This window comes from Homo sapiens, chromosome 3 (assembly GCF_000001405.40).
Source record: "Homo sapiens chromosome 3, GRCh38.p14 Primary Assembly".
NCBI lineage: Eukaryota > Metazoa > Chordata > Mammalia > Primates > Hominidae > Homo > Homo sapiens.
In genome coordinates this window covers 80,670,249-80,687,483 of record NC_000003.12, presented here as the reverse complement: position 1 = coordinate 80,687,483, position 17,235 = coordinate 80,670,249, and the positions used below count along the sequence as shown (strand labels likewise).

The 17,235-nt window shown below is 33.6% G+C and overlaps 2 long non-coding RNA genes across 6 annotated transcripts in view; one reads left to right on the top strand and one right to left on the bottom strand.

Moving 5' to 3' along the window:
• LOC105377176 (uncharacterized) overlaps window positions 1–7,528 on the bottom strand; it is a 42,562-nt gene extending 35,034 nt beyond the window's left edge. Inside the window, exons 1-2 of the long non-coding RNA XR_940989.3 lie at window positions 7,416–7,528; window positions 4,688–4,797 (exon numbers count right to left, since the gene is read on the bottom strand). This is a non-coding gene — a long non-coding RNA (uncharacterized LOC105377176). The remainder of the gene's footprint in view (window positions 1–4,687; window positions 4,798–7,415) is intronic.
• Window positions 1–17,235, top strand: part of LOC105377177 (uncharacterized) — a 250,124-nt gene that overhangs the window by 82,865 nt on the left and 150,024 nt on the right. The window lies entirely within an intron of this gene.

Sequence of the window (17,235 nt, the reverse complement as noted above, 5' to 3'; positions counted from 1 at the left end):
ATAAAATCTGTAAGATATGAATGATATGTGACTTCTATATATAAGTTTGAATTATAGTAATGGTGGTTTTAATTTCCTTTGCTTAAAATTAAAATATTGATGATTATATGACTGAAAAGTTTTTAAACAGCATTTTTGAGACAAACATCTGAAACATTCACTTGTGAAAACTTTTTTAATATTTAAATAAAATATTTAGAATTTGATTATTTTAATTTCATAATTAGAGATAAGTTAACAAAATGGAAGAAAAGAGTTTATATTGTTTATTGAAATATGTAATTATTTTAAAGATGTTTTTGCTGGAAATAAAGTACATATTTTGAGCTCAAGTTGCTACTCTCAGAGGTAGATATTATGCTGTGAATGATGAAAAGAAATTAATACATCCTGAATAAAAATAAACAATATTACATTAGTCCTACTGCTCACAAAACACTTTTGAGATACCTAAAGTTATGAAACATACTAAACTCTTCTTAAAATTCTATGATAAATATATTATTATTTCTCATAGCTAAACAAACAATAGTGAGAAGCAAGACATGAAACAGTTTTCTGAAGATTTTTGTTTTGGACTTTATAGTCTTATGGAATAGAAAAATTATTCCCTGGACACTAGAATTGAGACATAAATTTACATGTTTTAGAAAGAATATGTGCTTGATATTAGTAAACAAAAAAGACACAGGCACAATTAGGTTTGTTTTTAAAAATGTTAAAGAGTTAAGGTTTTATAATTGATAACTCCTGTCTGTATATATTTCACTATGTATTTTCCATAGAGCTATACATTCTAAATATCTTTCATTATGACTGTTAGCTATCTCCATATCTTCAAAACTATTCTTTGATATTTATTATATTCAACTTTCTTGTATAGTGCCATAGGCTTAGCAATGAAAATATGTTTAGTATGAATAGTAATGTTGATGAAATAGTGGCATTAGTTTTCCAGTTGGTAGATGTTATACTTTTCCTTCTCTGATTTGTCTTTTGTGTTCTATTTACCATCTATTTAAAAGAAAGTTGATTTTAATCATATAGATTTTGGCAACAGTTTTCTATGCAAAATGACAGCTGATTCAAATTGTCAGCAGCCTTATGAATCAATGCAGATAGCCACATGATTGATCCAGTTATTTCAGTCGGTATAGATTTTGAACAAAGCATCAGCTGTGCCACAATCTATTTGGCCCCAGAAACTGCATCATTTTTCTAGGCCCTATCTTTTAGAAACGGAGGTGCTGGACTGAATACAAATTCGCAAAAAGTCATTTAATCAATAAAGCAGAAGGCAATGAATGACAAGTAAACCTGTGTGGACAGGAACAAGCCAACTGCTCTTTATGGTAGTAAATATGAGACAAAGCATTCCTAGTGTTAAATAAAAACAATCGTGTTTTAGAATAAATAGCTTATTAGTTAATTAGGATGAATAACCAAAGTCCAATTAAAGATAGTCAAAATATTGTAAGAACTAATAATGCAAGGTGTTAGAGGAATAAGAGTAGATTTTTAGCCTTATGTTTAGCTCTTTGCTTTATCACTCCCTTCACATCCAGCTTTTTCTGTTTCTTTTAATGGCTGAATCACAGAATTGCAACTTCAATCACATTCAATTTATATTTTTCTTTTTCTTCTTCCATTCAATTAATATGTCATTAGATATTCTATTACTATCTCGACTACCAGCCCCTAAAAGACATTGTACAAGTTGCTTGTCACACTGTATCTCATTTCATTTTCCTATGTTTATGAGGTAGGTTATATAACTAGTTCTTGGTCTCAGATAAAAGCATTACAATGTTCTCATAATGAGTAAATAAAAAGCAAGGCCCTGAATTCAGGCCTATCTTCCTCCAAGATAATTTTAACAATGACATAACACTGTACCCTGAGAAATTCAAAACTACTTTTCTCTTCTGTCCATCAATGCTTCTCCATTTTCTACCTCCACTAACTTAATCTATTGTGTAATTTGTTTTGAAATTGTTTGCTATCTCTGATATCTCTCAAAATGTAATCTATCCTACTAAATATAATTGGAATAATCTTTCTATATCATATCTGTGCTCAAAAGAACTTTAAGAATTGCTTAGAATTAAGAATTTTTAGTAAAATTAAAATGTTATTACTCAAACAAAAATTGAATAGAACTTTCCTTAGGCAAACATATCACTTTTTAGAATACAAATATTGTCAGAGTAATATTTCAGACTCAATGTCTAAATCACGTATTTTCTTCTTAGAAGTTGCTCAAGTATATTTTTTCTGAACTGGATTTATACTATAACAAATACTTTTATAATGTCTTCAAGAGAAGAATTCTTTAATATATGATATAAAACACTTGAGAGCAAAAGAGGATATGTAGCTTTTTAAGTTGGCATTTGAGAACAACAACCAAAAAATCTCTACATTATTTATATTCCCAAGCAGAGGGATAAGAAGCTTTCTACTAACAAAAATGCTTCATATAAGTAAGTTTGAAATAGCCTGATTTGGCTTTCATGGTTGTAGAATAATAAGTATCAAAATGGTGAAAAACATTTAATAACTCTCTGTTGCAGGAAAAAATAGAGAGTTATTTACATTGTTCTCTTAAGTCTTGATATTTTAGATAGTTTAGTCAAAATAATTTCATATATTTTCATTATGAAAGTGAATACTTTTTCTGTAAGCCTAAACATATTATAAACTAGGAAAAGTTATTGGACACTGTCAATTTTTTACTTCATGTGAGGCTGTACAAAATTTACTTTGACATGAATAATGCCAAAATTTGAATAAGTGGACTGTGGCCTTTGAATTAGAGAAGAATATGTACCAAATCACCAATCAGCACTGTCTAGTTCAAATAGAATCCTCCTTGAAAAGTGTCTGAAATGATTTCTAATCATAAGAGGAAAGATGATTTGAGTTTTAATACATTTTCAAGCCCATTTTTTTTAATATTGATGTACTTCTTCTTCTTTTTTTTTTTTTTTTTTTTTTTTTCAGACAGAGTCTTGCTCTGTCGCCCAGGCTGGAGTGCAATGGTGTGATCTTGCCTCACTGCAACCTCCACCTCCCGGGTTCAAGCAATTCTCCTGCCTCAGCCTCCTGAGTAGCTGAGACTACAGGCGCCTGCCACCACACCCGACTAATTTTTGTATTTTTAGTAGAGATGGGGTTTCACCATGTTGGCCAGGCTGGTCTTGAACTCCTGACCTCAGTTGATCTGCGTTCCTTGGCCTCCCAAAGTGCTGGGATTACAGGCATGAGCCACCACGCCCAGCCATTGTACGTCTTGAGCAATAAAAATTTAAATTAAATACTTTAAATTTTAGTTTTCCAATTAAATAAAATGTATATGGACTTAAAACTTGAAACCATCATTCTCAGCAAACTATCGCAAGGACAAAAAACCAAACACCGCATGTTCTCACTCATAGGTGGGAATTGAACAATGAGAACACATGGACACAGGAAGGGGAACATCACACACCGGGGACTGTTGTAGGGTGGGGGGAGGGGGGAGGGATAGCATTAGGAGATATACCTAATGCTAAATGATGAGTTAATGGGTGCAGCATACCAGCATGGCACATGTATACATATGTAACAAACCTGCACGTCGTGCACATGTACCCTAAAACTTAAAGTATAATAATAATAAAATTTAAAAAAACTTGAATTATTGTTAAATCAGAATTATATACCTTATTGTTTTTACTATAATATTAGGAATTTTTTTAAAGTCAAAATTTTAGCATTTTTTTCCAACAATTATTAAGCAATTTTAACCTCATTTAAGGACTCAAATACACAGCTAAATATCAGCTGTGACTTCTTTTATTACTATTATCTACCCCATATTTAATTTAATACACTTTGTACTGTTTTATTGACTGGATCTGTATGTATGTCTCTACAGTCTAGTGAAATATTGTTATACCCCAGCATCTATGCATGAATGTAATATAAAATATTTATTGGCACTTAAATATCTGCCAACCTCAGGAACATGTTCTATACCTATAATATCACGTCTTAGAAACATAACCCAGTTAAGTAAATGTGACTATGTGACAGATGGGGTTATGTTTAGACAGCTAATTAATTTTTGTAATTTTATAATGCTTGTGACGAAAATGAGTTTTGAACCCAAATGTGTTTGTGTCCAAAGACCAGGTTATTAAACATGTTACAACCTTATTACCAAAGAATATCACATAAAATAGCTTCTCACTAAATGCTTAACGTGTTTATACTTATCTAAACCAGGGATCAGAAAACTCTGGACCATGGGTCAAATGCTGCCCACTTCCTGTTTTTGTAAATAAAGTTTTATTTGAACATATTCCTATTCATTAATTTATATATTGCTTATGGGTTCTTTCCCAGTACAGTGGCAGGGTTTGTCAGTTACACTAGACATAACATTACCCACAAAGTCTAAAATAGTTACTTTTTAGAAAAAGCTTGCCAATCCTTGATGTAAACTATATTACATCTGTAAAAAGGTACCTGTGACTGTATATCAACATAAAGAAGATGACCACCTAGATTTTATGATTTTAGTGATTATAAATTATGTAATTGCCTTCCCTAAATACCTCCTTAATCCACTGTGGTAGACTGAATAATGCTACTCCCTTCCAAAAATGTCCACACCCTAATCCTCAGAATCTGTTAATGTTACCTTATATGGCAAAAGAGATCTTGTCAGTGGGATTAAATTAAGAATGTTGATGTCGAGGAGATATTCCTGGATTATTCAGGTGGGTCCCAAATATAATCATGAGGGTCCTCCTAAGAGAGAGCAGATGATCAGAGTGTATCAGAGAAGATGTGACTGCAGTAGCAAACTCTTTGTGATATGCTTTGAAGATGAGAAAAAGGCACTGGCCAAGGAATACAGGGGACTTAGAGGAGCTAGAAAAAACAAAGAAATGGAATCCCTCCAGAGCCTCAAGAAGTATCCAGCCTGGTGACACCTTGACTTTGGCCAAATGAAATTGATTTCATACTTCTGCCCTCAATTGGTGTGGTTTTAAGCCACTAAGTTTATGGTAGTTTGTTACAGCAGCAATAATAAACTAATACACTCTCTGACTGAGACCTGAAATCTTTTGAATTTGTAAGACACATTTTCTATCAGAAAATTCTTATTGGGTAACAATGATACCTTTGAACATCTGACAATAGCAATGGATAATTTCCACAGAAAATTTTGAACATACATATATACATAATTTTTTGCATTTAATTTCAGAGTTTAATATATCCCCCATATAACTAATTTGTGGACTTCCTCGAGTTCTATGGGCTTCAAATGCTGTACCTGTAATTAATTGGCTTGGTTATAGCTATCAAGAAAATGATGACAATTGTGCTTTATCTATTTCTCTATCAATATATGTTGGTATTGTTTATCTGATTTTATGTCTCCTCCCTCTAGAAAGAAAACACTCTGAGAACATAGGCTTGGTCTTTTGTTTCATCAGTCAATAATTGTTTCCTAAAAAACCACACATATACTTAATAAGTCTTTGTTGAAAGAATGAATGTATAAATAGATTGATGAGCAAATATTGAGCTGGTTTGGACTTCTTTAGGAATCCTAGATATTTATTAAATAGGGAGTTGACAAAGATAAAGTTGACAGCAGTGTAGAGTAGAAAATGGATTAAATCCAAAATGACAATATGTAAGTATTCTAATAAAATAAAATTAAATTAAATTAAAAACTGTTAGGAGTCTAAGTGATGCAAATTTAGTGATTTATCAGAGCAATTTTTCATCTCAGCTCTCCAAAAAGCCCGCAGATATATTCAGACAAATTGAATACAAATTTGATTTGGGAAGCTTTTAAAATATTATGATTCCTAAACTTTCTTAAACAGGTACATCTACAACAAGGCCCCCAAATCTGGATTTTATAGAATTTCCCAAGTGATCTTATGGAGAAATCAGATTTGACAAATCTGATTTGATAAGCAATGCTTGAATGCACGTTTCTCTTTCCGTCCATACCTTTCTTATTAACCACTAAGGAAGAAATAGTTCCCAAATTTATCTGAGTAATAAGACACCTGCGTAAATGATTACAACTTAGACTCATAATCCCTTCTTGGGATATTTTGGTTCAAAGTCTCAGAATCAGTACCCAGAAATAAGGAAATATAGTAGACATCTTAGGAATTTACAATGGCCTAATAACTTGAGAAATTCTATTCTAAGTAATATATTTTGATGAAATAATTGGTATATATAACTGCACTCTTCATTTTGACCAGACAATAGGTAGTATGCATTGAAAGGCTTTTCTTTTTTACGCTTCACAACTAGAAATGCTAAACATTTTCAACTAAGCTATTCAAAGTAACAAAATCTTTCATTTTCTACTAAACAGCGAGCAAATGTGAACCTGTTTTATTGTGGCATACACACACAAACACACACACAGACACACACAGATACATATCCATGCACACATACATATATAGCATTTTTTTTAAATCAAAGCTTTATTTTGGCTTTTCAAGGACAATATTTAAAAGGGCTATTATTTTAAAAGTCATCAGCCTCTCAGGACTTAGTATGAAGAAGATTCAGTTTCTATTAAAAAACTGGGAATTGCTGTGTAAACTAGGTAGCACTGGAAATTTTAGTACATGTTAGCAATTGCCCGTTACCTTAATTTTTGTGAATTTAAAAAAATGAGAAAAAGATTATGTTGATTTGAAATACTACTCAATTCTGTGGTCTCTTTTCTTGTCATTAACTTAGTTCTAGATCTCCTCCACCTTTTAGCAAATTGCACCTAAGTTTGGCAATTTTTAATGTCAGTGCCCTCCAACTACAGGTTGAATATTCCCAATCCAAGATGCTTGGGACAAGAAGTGTTTCTTACAGATTTCATATTTTGGGGGGATCTGGGAATATTTGAATATACATAATGAAATGCCTTGGGGATGGGACCAAAGTTAAAACACAAAATTCATTTTTATTTCATGTATGCATAACCTGAACATTATCTTATGTAACATTTTAAATACTTTTATGCACCAGTCCCATGAGGTCAAGTGTGAATCTTTCACTTCTGGTGTCATGTTGGCACTCAAAAAGTTTCAGAGTATGGGGCATTTTGAATTTTATATTTTCAGCTTAAGGGTGCTCAACCTGTATATGTATGGCTCTATGGTATAAATGTTTATGTCCCTCCAAAATACGTATGTTGTAATCTTCACTCCCAAAATGATTGTATTAGGTCGTGGGGCTTTTGGGAGGTGATTATGTATAGGAGTGGAATCTGCACAAATAAAATCATTGCTCTTATAGGAGAGGGTCAAAAGATACCCCTCACCCCTTCCACTGTATGAGGTTAGGATAAGAATATAGCTGTCTAAGAGGAAGCAGATTCTTACCAGACACTGAATCTGCTGGCATCATGATCTTGGACATTCCAGCCTTCAGAATTGTAAGAAACAAATTACTGTTGTTTATCATCACATAGTTTGTGGTATTTTGGTACAGGAGCCTGAATGGTTTAAGAAATATGACAATAGTTAAAATAAAAGCCAGAGAAAGTTATGTCTATTCAACTATATTTTAGGAAGATAGATATCAGTATAGACTTGGCAGAAATAATTTTCATGTGGCAATTATTGGGCGAGGTTAGATTGCTGTATTTTATTTAACCAAAATTAAGTCTTCCAGCCAAGGCATTGTTACCAAAAGATTCTTTTTAGACTTTCATGTGTGCCTGTGCACACTCATATTTTCAACTTTATATGTATATTGCATATATATAGACATAATTATAATACATTATATATAATTATATACTTATTTTCCATTTTTGTATGTGGAAATTTGACAGACTACATCTTTAGAATATTTAAAAACCATAGTCCTTTTTGTAAATTAATTCTTCATATTCAGGTTTTTTTTTTGTTTTTTTTTTTTTTGAGATGGAATCTTGCTGTGTCGCCCAGGCTGGAGTGCAGTGGCGCAATCTCGGCTCACTGAAAGCTCCGCCTCCCAGGTTCACGCCATTCTCCTGCCTCAGCCTCCCGAGTAGCTGGGACGGCAGGCAGCTGCCACCACGCCCAGCTAATTTTTTGTATTTTTAGCAGAGACGGGTTTTCACCGTGTTAGCCAGGATGGTCTCCATCTCCTGACCTGGTGATCCGCCCGCCTCGGCCTCCCAAAGTGCTGAGATTACAGGCGTGAGCCACCGTGCCCGGCCCGTATTCAGGTTTATTTGTGTATATTTATATTTGACCTTTTGTTTTGTTTTGTTGAGTTTCGCTCTTGTTGCCCAGACTGCAGTGCAATGGGGTGATCTTGGCTCACTGCAACCTCCGCCTCCCAGGTTCAAGCAATTCTCCTGCCTCAGCCTCCTGAGTAGCTGGGATTACAGGTGCATGCCACCACGCCTGGCTAATCTTTGGTATTTTTAGTAGAGATGGAGTTTCACCATGTTGGCCAGACTGGTCTTGAACTCCTGATCTCAGGTGATCCACCTGCCTCGGCCTCCCAAAGCGCTGGGATTACAGGCGTGAGCCACTGGGCCCAGCCTATTCCTGACCTCATAATATTTTACTGTTATGTGTTTGTTTTTTCGTTAATGATGTCACAGTATTTTTCCATGTATTTAGTCCCATGAATATCTAAAAATTAATTTTGAACATAGAACTTCATTTTACAATCTTTCAGTTTCTAGTAGTTAATTTTTAAAAGCCTGGTTTATAAAAGAAGCTCAAAAATGTTATGGAATACATGAATTAATTCTTGATTGCTATTCTTGACTTCCATCATTTATGCAGTAAACTCAGGAACTCTGTAGTGTTCCAAAATTTATCTTCTCCATATCAAATTTGTATGTTTTCACAGAACTAAATTTCTGGCTTTTAAAACTCTCTTTTATTTTTTTCTTTCATTGTAATGGACCATTTTTGGAACTGACACTATTGAGTATGTGATATGCAGATAGTGAAGTCATTTGAGTACAGTGCATACTCTGGATATGCATTTTAGGCTAAAAAGAATGGTTAGTTGTTAAGGTAACTTCAGTAAATATATATTCATTAAGGGCAGTCAGAAAGAGAGAAAATCATCTATGTTGCCGCCTTGGCAGGCCTCAGAGAGCAGAGGTTGTAGCGTGTGGAAGAGTGTGCTTGTGCTTTCTGGAACAGTAATGCGTGTCCTGCTCCAGAAGCTCGACTCCCCTGCTGCCACCCAGAGTTTTTTCAGAAGCGTACACTTCCCCTCTTACTGCAGTTCTCCCCTCTTTGGTATTTAAGCTTCAAGCATCTTTGCTTCATGGGCTCTGCTCTGCGGGACTTGTTTCTTCTGCTTCCTCCTGGATTCTTCAGTCTTGAACTTCTCTGTTGCCTGCGTTCTTGCCTTTTACTCCACTCTGCCACCTGGATGAGAGGCCGAGGACCAGTCTGCGTCATAGGAACCTCCTTCTAATCCCTAGAGTAAGAAGCTGTCATCAGAGTGGTGGCATATTGATGCTAGAAACACAGGAAACTGCATGAGTCATCCTTCAGAATAGGATATAAGCATGGCCAGTGCATGCATTTTCTCAGATGAATACACATCTGTTAAACAAGCTGCATAGATTCTCCAGAGAGTTCAATATAATTTTTCTCGGTATTTTTCCTGTAAAAATACGCCATTAGACAAATGAATTGAAACATTTTTACCAAAGCTTCAATGCAGAAATCACGGCTGCACAAAAGTACATGAAATGGGGAGGTCACATCATATTAGTGATCAGCTGTCATAATCAGAAGAGGCCATGTAAGTATGTCCTCTCATAATTTAGTAAAATACAGGAAATCATCCTTTAATTGGTGGTGGGGAACCTTTTCATAAGATATATGGGAAATACTAAGAAGAGGGATTTAAAGCAACCTCTTTACTTGTGGCACTCTGAGATATACATACACATGGATTCTTTGGAGACACTGCTTTCCAGAGAGAGGCTAAATTGTCTGTGATTTAATTGCTCCTGGGATTGAAAAGGTGATCTTGTATTTTGCCTCCAGTGACAGGTGCTATCCCTTTATTATAATTTGAACCCCTGGGTGTTAAAACATTCATGGCTTTTCTATTAGGAAATCTGCATACTCCTCCATCCATGTTTATTCATAATTCTCTGATGAGTTGCAGACAAGCTCATTGAGAACTTAGGCTTTGACATTTTAGTCAGAAATTACTACCACACCCACAAACAGAAAAAAACTAGGCTCATTTGCATCTATATTTTAAAAATTTATGAAATAGTTTATGTTAGTATTTTGGGTCTTTTGAAATTAAGTATATTGTGAATTGTTATACTTTCTAATGGAATTTTTAAGCAATTAGTATGTAGTGAATATATATGTAAAGTCTGTATTAGACTGGTTCTAAAATGTGTGCACACCAGAGGGCATCATAGCTTTTATTCAAAGCTTCTTTTAGACATTTTCTTTTAAATTGAGCTTTATACTTTTTAACCTTTTTTTCTTTAGAATTATTACTCTTTTTCACTGTAATATTCATAAAACATGTTTAAACAATATTTATCCAAGTATATTGAATGAACAGAAATATCATAATTAAATGAGAAAATTAAAGCAAACAAGCCTTTATAATGACTGTCTAACAGCTTAGATTTCTTCCTATTTTTGACCTTCTTTTTCTTTTATCTCAGGACAATTACTACTGTTTGTATTTTTCTGATAATGTGTAAACTGTTCCAATAATTCTGTTCCTAGACTACTTTTGATACCCGCTCCGTTTTAGAAACTCCTTTGTCTTCTTGTTTTGCATGGTAAATTCTTATTGAAACAGAGCTCCATTTGATTGATCCATTCAGACAGCATTCATTGAATATTGGAGGAACAGGACTCAGATACAGCCTTCCAGAAGCTCACTTTCCTGCAGAGAAAAAAATGGGAACACATATGATGACCCTTCAACGTGATGAGTACTGTGTCCCAAAGTGCTGAGAGAACTCCTCAGATGGGTCTCTAATTGAGCCTAGCAGCTATGGAGAGTGAAGTGATACATGGACAGATGGTTAAAGCTGAGCCAAGATTTAAAGTACAATTAAAAAGTTAATCAGACACTATGACAAGCCTTCTTATTTTTTTTCCAATGATTTTAAAATAAAATTTGGAGTCGCTCACATAAAAGCACAGATAATTAGAGATAAAGAAAATGTTCTTTTCTTTGTTTGGATTTCACAATTGTCACGCAAAAATAAATAAGCGCAAACGAAAGGCTAGAGAAACTTCTAAAACCAGGTGATTTTATTAGTTGCTTTTTTTCTTTTATGTTTTTAAAACATGATATGATTATAACTTTTAAACAATAAACCTCCTGGGTGATTATAAATTTAGCATGAAATAAAATATTTATAGCAACAACAAAAAGGTATAAAGGGAAGAGTCAGAGGAAGCAGAGTTGTGAGAGTCACATATCCTTGGGAGGACGTTCAAGTAGACACGTAAGTTGTAAGTAAGCCTTTGGCAGGGAAAAGGTACATCTATTTTTAAAATACATCTCAACAATAGTTTATCTAAGGAGACTTTTCCAGTTGTATTCAACTAAACGTGATCTTTCCTCTTAGGAAATGTTGTTTCTGTGTTATAATTCTAGTCCTACATTTTTATTTTTTTCTATTAAATGATAAGCTTCACGAAAGTACTGATTTATCTGTTGATCTCCGACAGTGTTTAGTTTAATTCTTAGAATAGAAGAAGCAATGCTCAAAAAATATGTGCATTGCTTAAGAGGTATCTATCAACATGAATATAAGAATTGAACATAATTCTATTTAAAATGTAAATTTCAAAATGCCAGGTTTCATACTTTTAATTACAATTTTGCTGCTAATTAGCCTTGTTACCTTAATTGAGTGATTTAAAATATTTCTAGTTCTTACTTCACCTGTTAAATAATGGAGTTGAACTAGTTAATCATATGCTTGATCATTTAATTTGTGCCAGGAACTGGAATAAAGCATTTGCACATATTATCTAATTTACCCTTGATAACAACTCTTATGAGATGGTGTGGTAATAATCTGCATTTATTCCAAAAGCCCTAAAGTTACTTGGATCGTAATGCCAAGTAGCTTAGCAGATATCACACCAATAGTATATGATGGAGTCGGTCACACTGCAGACATCATTTCAGTTCTTATTTGAAAGCTCATTCTCGAGTGTCCTTCCACCTCTGAAATGTTATAGTTCCATATAAAAAAAATCCCGTAGTTACTCTTCAATGAAAAGTAATTTGATTATTCTGCAATATGCCTCTCTTCTTCTCGGGAGATAATGTTTTTTTTTTCTATTATTAACTTTGGGAAAAGAGACATCGATTACTTCTTTAAACCTCAACTATTTGAAGTTTAACATTTAGCTAGCCTCAATTTTTTTAAAAAAAGAAAAACACTTTAATCATCTAGACTATGAAAATTGAATAGAATAGGTATTCATAAATAACCTCAACACTCGACTAGAAAGTGCTTTATCTTAAAGACTCTTTTCTATTACCTTCAAGAAGAGAACAAGAGTATCTCCTTGCTAATTCATTTTGCAAAGTGTAAGTCATTGCCCTTCACAAAGGGAGAAAAAGATGTATAAAAAAGCCATGAACACTATTCAAATTCATTGCCTCTTCCAGGTGCGGGTAATTGAGTTGCCTCAAGATCAATATGAAACTGCCTAGGATACAGAAAGTCAATAGCTACTTCCAAAGTCAGGTCTGTCTAGTTTAGATATCTACAAAAGCAGAATCTTCAGCTGCTGCTTCAGAACAAATCTGAATCTGCATAACAAAACTTGAAATTGAATTCTATAAAGCAAGAGCTCCCTAAGTATCAGACTTTGATACAAAAATGTTTAGGGAGTCCCCTGTTGAGCAAATAACATTACTTGATATTTTCTGGACCCTGAAGTGGCGCTGAATGAACCATATATTTGATTGCATTTGATGACATTTGATTTTAAAAACAAGGTCTCTGTCCAAGGTTAGTATTTCTAGGTTCCTAGAATTAGTTTAAAGTATTATCTTTGAAAGAAAAAGTAATTCAATGACACTATGTTTTCATGAAAACAATTTACTTTCTTATTATTATAACACTGGAATATTGCATAATAACCTCTCCTTTGTTTACTATGTGTTGGAAATGAATGTGATAATGTCCAAAATACTTTAATTTTATGAAACTCTCACACTGGGTAATTTTGGGGAGTAGGAAACACTGCCGCCTCCCTCAACAAAAGAGTTTCCATTTGACGATAAATGGAAAAGTCCATATTGGAATTGGTACTTGAAACTGGAATACTAATTTTAATCCCCAATTCTCACATTCTCCTGGGGACCACTTGCTAATTACCACTGCAACCACCACCTTGTCCTGTGTGAGGTTGCTGAGAAGAATACTACTTTCTGTTTGTAGTTCTGTAACCATTCCACAGAATCAATCTTAATTCTACATAGTCCAGTTGAACCTTTTGTGGAAGGCAAAGAAATCAAAATAAGCAATGAACACATAGAATTTTGTGTGATAACAATATAAAATAGAGCATTAACATTCTCTGGCAAGCATCTGAGGCCCATGGGCTGTATCTTTCTCTGACTCCTCACTTATATTTATGTGATGGTAGCAACATATCACTTTTCACTTTTAAAAAGGGGCTTGGAAAGACACAGATGTTTTTAAGTGCCATTTTTGTACCTTCCATTCCCTGTATCTTTAAAAAATGGTTAACAGTGGAATTTCCAACTTGTCCAAGGAGGCTCAGAATCACCTAGAGTTTGCACTACTGGAAAGACTTACCTGTGAGGGTAATGTATGTGTGTAGTGCAGGATGGAGCAGAAGGAAGATTCCTTGATAAAAAGACTCAAAATCTGTGCAACGATCTAGTAGTTCCTAAGATTACATAGTTCATTTTATTAGGCAGTTAAAGTCAATTAACGCTTAACAATTAGGTCTGTAAACAATGCTTCCTAAAAGCTGAGAAATATTTTTATTGCATATATAAACTTGGACAAAAGAAAATAAAAGAAACAACTATTGTATTCATTAATTTTTTCCTAAATCACTTGAAACATCTACCACTGGATTCCAGAGACAGAGTCCATATTTTCTTACCCTTCGGTTTATTCACTGGTGATATACTGGCTTGTTATTTTAAGTGGCCCTCTTTAGTTCTTAAATATATTGTAAGTTTCTACAAAATAGGAGAAAGCCCTGTGTTTATAAACCACTCACTACGTCTGCCAGTATAAGTTTTGAAGGAAGAGCAAGTCAGCTTTGGCAATAGGCTTCACGTTGAATCTTGGCTCCATAAGACAACAGCTCATGATATTGGCAACTGAGGAATGCCTGAGACTTAGTTTCCTCTTTTATGAAATTAGAAAACTAACTACCTCACAGAGTTCTTGTGAGACTTGAAAATGATACATACATCAAATGCCTAGCTCAGTGTCTGGAACAAAATAGGTGATTAATAACCAATTTTGAATTAATATGATTAAAGGGATATATCAAAACATTTTATGACCTCTGCTGCTGTATGTCATTTCCATTCCTCAGTGGATTATAGCAAGTTCCATTTTTGTGTGTGAATTTAATTTTAGAAATAACAATAAATCAGATAATTTTTTAATATCTGCAGGTTTTTTAATAGTTAGAAAGTGCTAGAGCACTTTACCAAAAAGGCTTATAGGACTCTTTCTATTGTCTTGCACCTAGAGATAAGGAAACCACATCAGCAATTCTGAGAGAGTGTCCTGCTTTATAGTGCTAAAATTAAAGCACCAAAATCATTTTTTCTTACTTTTTCCCTTCCTCCTTTCCTCTCTTCCTCTCTTTCTCTCTTCCTCTGCCCTACTCCTTCCCTCCTTCCTTTCCTCCTACTCTCCTTTTTCTCTACTTTTCTTTCTTTTTCTTCTTTGGAAAGAATGAAGCTAAATATAAATGATGGGCTATCTGTTTCTTCGATTTTAATTAAAACAAAAATTCTGACAGATCTTTCACTTTATTATACTGAAATTTCTAATTGAAATTATTTGTTTCTCAGCTTTCTGTTAAAATAAAAAGGAATACTTAAAATTACCTGTGATGCTGGGTTTTAGGGACTACATTTATTGTAGGAGTGATGAAGATACTCTATTGAGCTTTTTAAAATATCTGAGTATTTTAGAAGTATAATAAGGAGCAGATCATTCTATCTTGATAAAATTATATGTATGGTATGTCTGTTATGAAATATGTCATTATCGCAGTTCTATTTAAGGGAAATTGTTCTAACTCATTGACTCCTTTTTTGATAGAATTACAAGTCCGCTTATACTGTAATGTGGACAAATACATGGAAGGGGCCAAAGAGAAACAGTAGATTGAACAGAAGTCATTTGTGAGCTAGCACCATTAGGCCTTGAATAGCAAAGATACCTTTTGAAGATGGGTCTCTAGTTTTGCCTTGTATTGCCTTGTATGCCATGACTCCTTCAGATGAAACAGATCCTAGCTGCATGTACTAGAATTTCTTCTGCTTGGTAATTTGTCCTTTATTGGGTTCCCTGCATGTGCACTACCTCCTTTAACCTGAGGTGAGTCATGAAAATGTATGGCTTGCACACAGATATTTCTAAAACAAATCTCATATTTAACTTTAGTGAGACACATTGTCAGTAAAGACTCATTTTGATGTAACAGAAGTAATTAAAAACAGATTATTAAGTATTCAATACATTATAATAACATATGGGCTGTAGATGTGTTTATTTTTTTAAAAAAGCATTGGTGATAAAATTATAATGCTCTTAAACGTTTCTAATTCAACTATTTACTTAAAATTTTCTAATTAAAGTATTTAAATATTTAAAATTATTAGTTATAACATGTATCTGCAAAAGCAGAGAGACCTACGTTCTCTACCATTAGTCTTCATTCTTACTTTCTTTTCTGCAACAACACAGAATACTCTGGAGTCTAAATTATCTTAATTAGATGCAATTAAAGTAGATTTCTTTATCTATTAATTAACAAACCTGGGATTTAGCAATACTGCAATAAGCATTATGTTATCTCTCTGAGAAATTGTTACATTTTTGATATAATTTATCTAAATTTCATTTAACCTGATTTCCCCTGAATTTTAACCTATTTTCTGATTTTAATCCATATTTCAGCAAAAATGCATACAGGTTCAATCCATAGACTTTTCTTTATCCCCACATGTAAGCTGGCATTGCACCAAATCATCTGCTTTAGAAACATGTTGAAAAAATACTAAATTCAGGTATGGTCCATATATTCTGCACTTCAAATGCTGTTTGAATATAAATGTTATCCCAATGACTTGGATTACAGGTTAGGTAAGCAATCTGTTAGGAACCCATAATAGCTCTTTTAAGGCAGGGACTTATAGTTGATACATCTTTCTTCATCTTTCATTTCATATCAAAGTTTCCTTTATTGGCCTGGATATGGGCCACTCAAGGCCACAATATTGAGCAGTGCTGGTGAAGAATGGCATCAGCATCAGCTTTATATATTAGAAATAAGATATCTCCTAACTTTCTCTTTTACCTCTCTTTCTGTGCTTCCTTTTAGACCTTTTTTGGACTTGATTTATTTCATTTATGCTGAAAAGAGTTGACCATTTTTAAAGCATATGATAAAATTCTTGCCTTGAAGCCATTTATTGATGTTTTAGTGAAATAATGCTTACATGCACACAGCCCTTGGGGAATATGAGAGTTTTTCCACTGATCTCATTGCCACCTCTCTCTCATTGACTGAATCTTCTCTACATTCTTCCCAGAAAATTTATTGTGTTAAATATACCTTTCTTTCTGTCATTTCTCTTTTCAAAAACCTTCAGTCACTCTCAAATGGCTGAGTTACTCCCCAGAGTGTTACAAAGAATTGTAAATTCATGTAGACACCATGTACTGAAGGCAGACTAAATAAATATCTTGCACAAGTAGGCGCTATTATATTCCAAATATGTGGGTTGATGTTAATCAAATATTCATTTTATAAGTTGCTTAATTTTTAACTTGTGGATATTATACATAGTTCTCAATAGTCAGTTTTACCTATATTCCTAGCACACTCACAGGCACACACACAAATTCACAAATACAACCACTCAACAAATGCACACACAGACACGTGATTGAGAATGATACACATATGATTGCTATTTTCTTTTTTTTCTTTTTTT